This window comes from Homo sapiens, chromosome 2 (assembly GCF_000001405.40).
Source record: "Homo sapiens chromosome 2, GRCh38.p14 Primary Assembly".
Taxonomy (NCBI): Eukaryota; Metazoa; Chordata; class Mammalia; order Primates; family Hominidae; genus Homo; species Homo sapiens.
The window spans coordinates 116,482,490-116,493,166 of record NC_000002.12 but is presented as its reverse complement, the minus strand read 5'-3'; the positions used below and the strand labels follow the sequence as shown (position 1 = coordinate 116,493,166).

General features: G+C 38.8%; 1 annotated feature.

Annotated features, from left to right (window-relative positions):
* Positions 1,489-2,688: an enhancer, noted in NCBI's record as "MED14-independent group 3 enhancer chr2:117248055-117249254 (GRCh37/hg19 assembly coordinates)". NCBI's record gives its function as "activates an origin of replication core promoter dependent on BRD2, BRD4, P300/CBP and CDK7 cofactors, and independent of MED14, by STARR-seq in HCT116 cells {active_cell/tissue: HCT116}" and the evidence as "EXISTENCE:reporter gene assay evidence [ECO:0000049][PMID:35650434]".

The window sequence follows — 10,677 nt, the reverse complement described above, 5'->3', positions numbered from 1 at the left end:
ATGTAGCATCAAAAGAAAAAAAAAATTATGTCCCATCTTATGTATGTGACTTAATGAGAATGATTGAGAAGAGACGGAGAAGAGGGAGAGGAACAGACAGAGTGATAGCCAGAAGGAGGGAAATATTAGACAGATAAATAATTCAGGAAGTGGAAGAGAAAAAAGAACCAAATTCTGGAGATAAAGAACCAAATTCTGGAAATGTAAAACCAAGTGCTCTTTTCATGTTGGAAGTAGTCCAATGTAATCAATCTGCCACCAGGTAATTGACTGATCATGCTGAGAAATAGCGTCAGGGACTCAGCATTGGTCTTGGCTTTTGGCAAGTTAGGTGCACAGCAATGGAAATTGCCAGATTACCTCCTAATCACCTAGCTAGAAGAAACTCCTCATAAGGCCATAAACGTGGGTTAAGATGGAGGAGACAGTGAGGCAGGAGTAGGAGCCATAGACATCCAAGCCACGTGGCCATGTAACTGACTCATTACTTAAGGATTTATTTGATCCCTCTATTTATGTACTCCTTCCATTTAATAATGAAGTCCTGCTGCAATCAACCAAATATACAGCTTGGTCTATTATACAACTTCTAGATAATGAGCATAATTAGATGGTCAATGGTCAAGCATTCATTCAGCCTCTATTAAGGACTATATCAAGCCAGAAACTTTCTCAAAGGGAACATAGTTAAATGCTGAGGACGGTGTGGCTTTACTCCAAAGTTCTAAAGGATTGTGCTGTGATTCATTTATAAGTGTCTATCACTGATCCATACAGCATTCTATCTGCCACACATTCTTTGAGCACCTTTTGATCTGCTTAGCTACGTAAGCCAAATAGCAGAGCAGCCTGCACAGCATCCTGGACCTGTTACAAAGCATTTTCTTTTCTGGGTTCCATTAAAAACTGGAAAACTTTTGGAATATTTGGCAAATAGTTTTTGATAGCACAATCCGACAACAAGTGTATTCTTCCAAAGAGCATCACCAGACACTGTGTCTGTGTCTTAGTTGTAAGAATGCGAGATGCAGGAATTCATCCTTTACCTTGGAAGGGATGACTGAACATACCCTAGACCATAGGACAGACAGCTATCTACATTTTTATAGGATTTGTTTTCCACTCTGTGCCACATATGTGTTGTATTAAAACGTTTAGTAATGTTTAGTTTACTAGTTCCATTTAGCATGATACCCTCAGCATAATGGATCCAGGCGATGTACTGTGTTTTTAAGAGGTGAGTGATTCTGGAGAGTTGATATTTCCATAGGGTAAGCAACTAAGATGTACTGTGGCCCTTATCAGCTAAATGCAAACTTTCCTAAATGGTCTTTATTAAGAAGTAAAGAGATTCATAGCTCTTTTTTTTTTTTCAGACTCATAGCTGCTTCATGGTGACTAGAAAATATGTTAAGTTGCTTCCAACTGTAGTGCCACAAAAACAACAATTTTATTAAACTAATGAATTCAGTGGGATAAGAATTTAAGCAGAGTACTGAAAAGATGGCTTTTTTCTGTTTCGTCATATTTATTGCTTCAGCTTGGAAGACTCGAGTGAGAGTGACTCAACTAGCTAGGTAAAAGAATCACAGGGAGGCTTCTTCAGCTCCATGTCGAGTGCCTGCCTAGGACAGCTTCTATGTTAGGCTTGCCTTCGACTAAGCACCTACAGGTAGTCTGGGTTTCCTCACAGCGTGAGTGCCTCGGGGTAGTCAGAATTCTAATATGCTGACTCAGCACTCTACGGGCAGCATTTTTTTTGTTTTTCTTTTTTGAGACAGAATCTGACTCTTTCGCCCAGGCTGGAGTGCAGTGGCATGATCTCGGCTCACTGCAACCTCCGCCTCCCAGGTTCAAGCGATTCTCCTGCCTCAACCTCCTGAGTAGCTGGGATTACAGGTGCCTGCCACTGCACCCGGCTAATTTTTGTATTTTTAGTAGAGACGGGGTTTTGTCATGTTGGCCAGGCTGGTCTCAAAGTCCTAAGGGCAGCATTTTTAATGTGGAAGGAGGAAGCTGTGGAAGTTCTTTTGGTCTAATAATCTTAGAGATTACACAGCACCACTTCTCTTACATTCCATTTGCTAAAAGAAAGCCACAGATTGTATTAGTCATCTGTAGCTGTGTAACAAATTAATGCAAAACCCAATGGCTTAAAACAAACAAAGAAAAAAGCCATTATTATCTCACAGCTTCTGTGAGTCACGATTCTGGGTGCAGCTTAGCTGGCTGATTCTTTCTCCAGATTTTCCACAGGAATGACGTTAAGGTGTTAGCCAGAGTCATTGTCTCTCCTGAAGCCTCACCTAAGGGAGGGTTTACTTCCAAGATCGGTCCTGTGATTGATAGCAACATTCAGTTCCTCACTGTTGTTGGCCTGAGGATCTCAGTTTCTCCTTGGCGGTGGACCAGAAGCTCCCTCCATTGCGCGCCATATGGTTTTCCGTTGGGCAACATGCAGCATGTCAGCTGGCTTCCATCAGAATGAACAAGTGAGATAAAGCAGAAGAGAAAAAGCAGGAGAAAGAACATTTTTCAGAAGGGAGCTCAACGCCTTTGCCAGATTGTACTTATTGGAAGAAAGTCACTGGACTCTCACAAAATGAAGAGGAGGGGATTACACAAGGTGTTAATACCGCACCAGGAGGTTAGAATTATTGGGGCCATCTAAGAAGCTGTTTTCTTAATCTGCACTCTGATTCCAATAATTCATATTCCTCCCACATTCCCCTAAAGTTCCATCACATTACATCACCAGCTTAAAGGTCATAATCTCACTGCCTAACTTATTTTCATGTGTGATGACTCTCCTCAAATAACAGTGCCACAAGTGCAGCTTCTTAAGTACAGTTCTTGTCAATCTGTTGATTTGTCAAACTAGAGAGACACATTCTGTTCTTTGCATGATCAACATACAGTAAGGGGACAGGTACAGGGTAACTCCTGAAGACATTACTGTTTAAAAAGGGGGGAAATTAGAAGCAAAATGAGTCACTGATAGAAATTCTGAAATCTAGCCAGGCAAATGTTGACAGCTCCTTGATTAGGTCTCAAGGCCTGAGAATAATTCTCCACAGCTCTCATTTCCTCCCTCTGAGGTTTTTATCATACGCTTTGAGTCATACTTAATTTTTGGTAAATGTGTTTGAAGCCAAGTAGTATTCCCAGCTTGCTTTCTGCCTGTAGGATTTGAAATTTCAAAAAGCATCTTGTTATTTCATTCATCTAATTCTGGAATGGTTTTGCTGATATAATTCACTCAAAAACTTTGTAGGCTTCCTCTGAATATAACTGCAGTTTACTTAATTAGGCAGATATAAAAGCCACTAATTTATTTGACATAGATTTTTTTCTACTTTTTGTTCCTGTGTAGATAGTGAAGGGGCAAGGCCATTAAGATTCCATATTAGTCTGCAAGTGCTGCCATAATAAAACACAACAGTGAAAATTTGTACTTAGTTTCTATACGTTTTGAGCGATGACAAATGTTTCACTTTTATAACTTATGATAATGCAGGATGAATAAGAAATTTTGCAAGTTATTAAGGCTAGAAGACATTAACACCACTTAAAATTTGTATGGCATATTCGTGTGTCAGGGACGCCATCAGAAAATATCACAGACCGGATGTCTTAAACAACAGAAATTTGTTTTGTCACAGTTCTGGAAAATTAAGGTGTCAGCAGTTTTGGTGTCTTCTGAGAATTCTCTCCTTGACTTATAGTCATCTTCTCTCTTTGTCTTCGTTTGATCTTTCCTTTATGCGTGGCTATGTCTGAATTTTTCTCTTCATATAAGGACATCAGTCATATTGAATATGGCCCTGTTTTAACTTAATGATCCCTTCTTAATAAAAAACTCATTTTAACTCAGTCATCTCTTTAAAGGACCTGTTTCCAAGTGGAGTCACATTATGAGGTGCTGGGGGTTAGGACTTTAGTTTATGAATTTTGGGGGTACACAATTCTGACCATAACAGTTTTCTATGGACAGCTTGATATTTGAGATAATTTGTAATGCCCATCTCATCCCTAAACTTTTTAAAAGGGCATTTGTGTGATTGAATCATACTCTGAGATATCACCTTTTTTATTTCTGAGGTTTTAACAGTTTTTGTAGTCAAGACTTTGCTTCATCTTTAGACAGTATTTTCCTGTAGGTGACCTAGATTTAAACTTTGATTAAAAGTAATTTCTTAATTTCAGCATCTGTATCAGTGAGGGTTCTCCAGATAAACAGAACCAATAGAATATAAACTATATATAACATATATATATATATATATAGTTTATGTTATTGAATATATAGTCTATGAATATATAGTATGCAGTCTATAGAATATAGACTATATATATTCTATACTTTATATAAATACATAGTCTCTCTCTATATAAGTTCATTGGTTCATTGAGTGATAAGAGGAACATCTAGGGAAAGAGGGTGACTGGCAGCTGCAAAATGAGTCACGTTATTCACTTGATTATTAATATATAATTTATTATCAGGAGTTGGCTCATATAATTATGAAGGCCAAGAAGTCCTACAATCAAACCAGCTGTTTCAAGATAATGGAAAACGTGGTAAGACTGGTGAATATTATTATCATGAGCTCATTGCCACACTTTTTTGGCTGTCACAAGTCCTTTAGTCAGAAGCAATGCTGTGTGGAATTATAATCCTCATTTCTGTTAACTGTTAATACTTTTATGGTGGATAAGGCATTCTGTAAGTTTACAGATGATAGTTTTGGTAGAAGCATTGCATGCTGGGAAGGCAAATCCATATCCAAAGTAAGTATCTATTCTGGTAAGAAAAAAATGCTGCCTCTTCCATAATAGAAGTGATCCAATGTAGTCAACTTGCTACCAGGTAGCTTGCTGATCATCCCAGGGAATCGTGCCATTTCATTGACCCAGTAATGGTCTCCACTGCTGATAGATTTGACACAGTGGTGGGTAGCCAGGTCAGCCTTAGAAATGAAGAGTCCATGTTGCTGAGCTAATGTATAACATCCATCCCTGCTACCATGATCACTTTGTTCATGAGATCATTGGGCAATGACATGGGTGGCTGAGGAGAGGCTGATGCTATCCACAGAATGAGTTGCCCTATCTACTTAGTTATTAAAATGCTTCTCTACTGAAGTCAACCTTTTGTGAGAATGCCCATGAAACACAAATATCTTTATGTTGTATTGCCCATTCGGAGAGGTCTTTTCACATACCTCTTTCATAAATTTGTTTCTCACTAATTTTTCAATCAAGTTTCTTCAAATTCCCTGACCATCCAGCCAAACCACTTGTTACAGCCCATGAAATGGTATATAGTCACACATATGGCTATTTATCCTTCCAAGTAAAGTGCACAACCAGGTAGACTGTCCGAAGTTTTGCCCACTGGGAAGATTTGCCTTCCTTGCCATCCTTCAGGGATGCCTGAAAATGGGGCTGTAGTGCCACAGCTATCCACTTTTGGATGGTGCTTATCTATCAGACAGAACCATCTGTAAAACCAGGCCTGAGCCTTTCCTACCTCTGTCAACTTATCATAGGAAACTGCTACAATGAGGCTATACACACAAGCAGGGAGAGAGAAGGCAGTGTAGCAGCAGGAGGGGAAATCATAGGCATTTGTGTCACTTCTTTGTATAACTTGTGCCTTCAGGGCCTGCTTGGCCTCAATTACATACCCACTGCTCCATATGATGGTGGAGTAGTGCTGTGCACACCCAGCTTTGTGGCTTGGTGAGTCAGAGAGCACCCAGCTAATGTTACTCAGCTCAGGTTGTAGGGTAACTTGGTGGTCCACGGTCAATCATTCAGTCATTACAAAGGCCCAGTAGCAGGCTACTTTCAAAGGAAATTTATTTATGGATAATGGCAGGAACATTTCAGCAACATCTGGTGGAGGCAACTAGTGTTGCAACTCACTGAAATGGCTGACAGCAATGAACTCCAAATGGTGCTGCAGACAGAACCATGTTAATATAATAGTAGCATTCCTTTTAGGATAAGTGACACTGGAGTTGAGTGACTAGAGTTAGTGTTTCTTGTTCTCTCTAACTCCACAAAAATCAACTTTTTAGCCCCAAAATATGTGATAATATGCAATGTTTTTCTTTCGGTGACTAGCTTATTTAACTTAACACAGTCACTTCTAATTCCAGCCATATTACTGTAAGTGACATGATTTAATTTTTTAATGGCTGAATATATTCCATTGTATATATTTACCATTTAGTCCTCATTCAGTTATTCATTGATGGACACTTGGGTTGATTCCATATCTTTGTTGTTGTGAAGAGTGCTGCAATAAACATAGGATTGCCAGTATCCATCTGATATATTGATTTTGTTTCCTGTGGATAAATACTCAGTAGTGGGATTGTTGGATTGTGTGGTAGTTCTATTTTTAGGTTTTTGAGAAATCTCCATTCTGTTTTCCATAGTGGTTGCACTAATTTACATTCCCACCGACAGTGTATAAGGGTCCTCTGATCTTCACATTCCTAACAGTATCTGTTATTTTTTGTCTTTTTAGTACTAGTCATTGTAACTTGAGTAAAATAATATCTCATTGTGGTTTTGATTTTTATTTCCCTGATAATTAGTGATATTAAGCATTTTTTTCATATATCGATTGTGCATTTGTATGTGTTCTTTTAAGAAATGTCTATTTATGTCCTTTAGACACTTCTTAATGACATTATTTGTTTTCTCACTGTTGAGATTTTTCAGTTGCTTGTATATCCTGAATCACTTGGCATATGAATAGTTTAAAAATATTTTCTGCCATTCAATAGGTTGTTTCTTCACTCTATTGATTCTTTCCTTTGCTGTGAAGAAGATTTTTTGTTTAACATAACTCTATTTGCCTATTTTTGTTACCTTTGCTTTTGAGGTCTTAGCCATAAAGATCTGTGCTTAGACAGATGTCTTGTAGTGTTTCCTAAATGTTTTCTTCAAATAGCTTCATTTTTTCAGATCTTATACTTAAGCCATCTTCAGTTTATTTTTGTCTGTAAGGAGAGACAGGGGTCCAGTTTCATTCTGTAATGTGCCATGGAGAAGACCTTTTTGAATTGTATGTGCTTAGGAATATTTGAGCTTCCTATATCTGGATGTATGAATCTCTTGCTAGACTGGGGAAGAAGTTTTCAGCTATGATTTTATTAAATAGGTTGTCTATTTCTTTGGTTTTCTCTTCACCTTTTGGGACATTGGAAATTCAAATATTTGGTTGCTTTGTGTTGTTCTATATGTCATGTAGGCTTTCTTCATTTTATTTTTATTTTTTTTCCTTTATTTTTGTCTTACTGACTTATTTCAAAAGGTCTGTCTTCAAGTTCTGAAATTCTTTTTTCCACTTGATCTAGTCTACTGTTGAGCTCTCATATGTGTTTTTTATTGCATTCAATGGACTTTTCAGTTCCAGGATTTTTTTTAATGATATCTATTTCCTCTGTGGATTTCTCATTCATAGCCTACATTGTTTTTCTAATTTGTTTGCATTATTTGTGTTCTCTCCCATCTTACTGAGCTTTTAAAATATTATTTTTGGTTATATTTTCTCAACATTTCATAAATTTATTTTTCATAGGAATCTGTTGCTAGATAATTATTGTACTCCTTTGGAGGTATCATATTTCCTTGTTTTTTCATGTTTCTTGTGTCCTCACATTAATTTCTACACATCTGATGTAACAATTGCTTCTTCCAAGTTTTTGAATTTCTTTTCATAGGAGAGGACTTTTTCATAAAGTTGTACCTATACTGTTGCTTGGGTAAGACATTTTGGCTTTTATTCTGGGTGCATACACTAGTGCAGTCTCCACATAATTTCTTCTGATGTAAACAGTATCAGTGGTGTCTCTGATTTCCTCAGTTGCTCAGGGTGCAGTTCTTCATGGAGGCTGTGGTGAAGTTGTTGCTGTGGATGGGGATGCCAGGTGGACCAGTCCACAGGCCCCTGTGGTAGCAGCAGTGGGCCAAGCATGCCTGTCCTTGGGCTTGAGGATGGCATATGTTGGCACTGGTGTTAGTGGATCCAGGTGGGCCAATTATTGGGCCTCCAAGTGACTTGCTTGGGTGCTGGCAGTGGCAGTAGTGGGCCAGGAAGTTGTATGGGTCCTGGGATCCCTGGGATCCCTGGGCAGCAGGCATGGTGTAGGCGATAGCTGTAGCAGTAATGAGACAACTCTCTGGCTCCCAGTCCATGTTAATATTGGTGCTGGCTGTGATGAGCTGGGCAGACCAGTCCCTGGGCCCACAGATGGCATATGCAGGGGAGTGCCAGCTGTGGGGGTAGCATCAGGCTGCCTGAGCCCCAGGAAGAGTGCTCAAGTGCCAAAGATGGTGAATGGTGCACGGTGATCCCCAAGTCCATAGTTAGTGTGCTTGGGCACTGGTGGGGGCAAAGCTAGGCCAGGAAGACCTGTCCTCAGGCTCCCTGGTGGTACATATAGGTGCTGGCTGTAGTCGTCTGGTCTGGGGTGATGCCCAGGCCCTGGTTATGGAGGTCATGGGTGTGGCCCTGCTGCTGGGGAGGGCAGGTTTGCTTTCAGCAGCTGTAGGCAGACAGCTGGTGAGTATGTGATTCAGCCTCAGGTGGCAGGTGCAGAAGGTGGCATTTGTTCCTCGAGGCACTTGTTCATGAACAGTAATCCCCCTACTTGGCTGCTTGGCAGGGGAGGGTCCCTGCCGGTGGCTCATGCTTTGGCCCAAGTGGCAGCAGTCAGCAGCAGTGGTAGCTACATGTTGAGGATGTCACTGTGGCTCCAGGGATGTGGAGATGTGTAGTCTGTTGAGTCCCAAGGCACTGTGCAGTTTAGTGGGGGCTGGACTCTTGAAATGGCACTGTGCTGTAGCTGCTTAATGTTAATAAACATCTCAGGGGATGTGTGGGACCCAGTGTGAGCTTCCTCTCTTGACGAACACTGTTGTGCAGTCTGCAGGCAGTTTCCTGTGTTAGTCTCAGGGTCCGCAAGAGTTGAAGGGCTCTCCCTTGGCTGGGATTGAAAGAGTTCGTGGTGGACTGCTGCAAATTGTTCACTTAACTCCTTCCCCACACTGGGGAGACTCTCTGGGGCTCCAGGTGATCCTGGCTGGGCAGGCTGACTCACTTCCCTCTCCTTTGTCGCTTTAGGGTTTTCTGTCACTCTGCTGTTGAATTCAAGTGTTCTGTCTTAGATGATCTATTCAAAGTATGAATATCTACTCACTACATTGTGTGTGTGTGTGTGTGTGTGTGTGTGTGTGTGTGTGTGTGTGTGGAGGTGACTGCCAGATACCTTAGCCAGCCATCTTGAAGCTAAAAAATGTATAATCGTCTTAACAAAAACAGAAAATGTAATTGAAAAAAATATAACATCAATTTCTGATAAAAACTCAGTAATCTGAGAATAGTAGAACATTTCCTAAGCCATCATGTTTAGGATATACTGCACATACGAAAGATGCATATGACAAATTGTGATATAGGGCACATGTGAAAAATGTCCATCTCATATTTTATTTAGTGATCATAGTCTAAATTATTTTATTTTTAGACTGAGAACAAGGAAAGAATGTCTACTCCTGCTTCTTCACTATTGTACTAGTAATTTTAGCCATTGGGGGAAAAAACGAGAAAGAAAGAAAATGCTAAAATAAAACTGTCTCATTATAGATGACATGATCATCTGTGTGTAAAATACTACAGAATCTACAGAAGAAGCTAGTATAACTAATAAGGGAGCATGGCAAGTTTGTAAAATAGATCAATTACAAATGGTATTTCTATATGCTAGCAATGAGTATATAATATAGCATGTAATAAAATTCATCACTTACAATAGCATTAACATGCAATAATTATGGTTAAATTTGACAATATGACAAAATATGCATGAAACTCACAGAATAAAATCTACGCAACATTCCTGAGAGTTATTAAAGAAGGCCTAAATAAATGCAGAGATACACTTTGTTCATGGCTCAAGAGACTCACAAAGACATCAATTTGAAAATTAATCTATAGATTCAATGAAATGACAATCAAATCCCTAGCAGGCTTTTCTTTGTGTAGAAATTGATGAGCTGGTCCTAAAGTTTTCATACAAATGCAAAGGACTAGTAGAGACTAAATATCTTTGGAAAAAAAACACATTTATCTGGCTTATTTGGCTGATTTTCAAATTTATTATCATGCTATCATTATCAAGATAGTATAGTATTGGACTAAAGATAGTCAAATTGATTATTGGAAGATAATAGTTTCCAGAAATGGACCCTCTCATATATAGTTAAATAATTTTAACAAATATTTAAAGGAAACCCATTGAATAAAGGAAAGGGTTTTTCATATATAAATGAAACAACTGACTAGTTTCATTTAAAAAATAAAGTTTTATCCATACCTCACAGCGTGTTTCAAAAATTATCTCAAAATAAACCATAAACCTAGGTATAAAAGCTAAAATTACAAAACTTCTAGAGAAAAACTTATGTGAAAATATTTATGCCTTGGGCTACAATGATGTAAGAAGTAGGGTGGAAAACCAAAGCAAACCAAATTATTGTAATGAAGATAGAGAAAATCTAGAATGTATTAAGAATCCTTAAGAAAACAGAAAAAAAACTTATTTGAAAAATTGGAAAAAAATATGAATAGTCATTTTGAAATAGAGGAAATCCAAA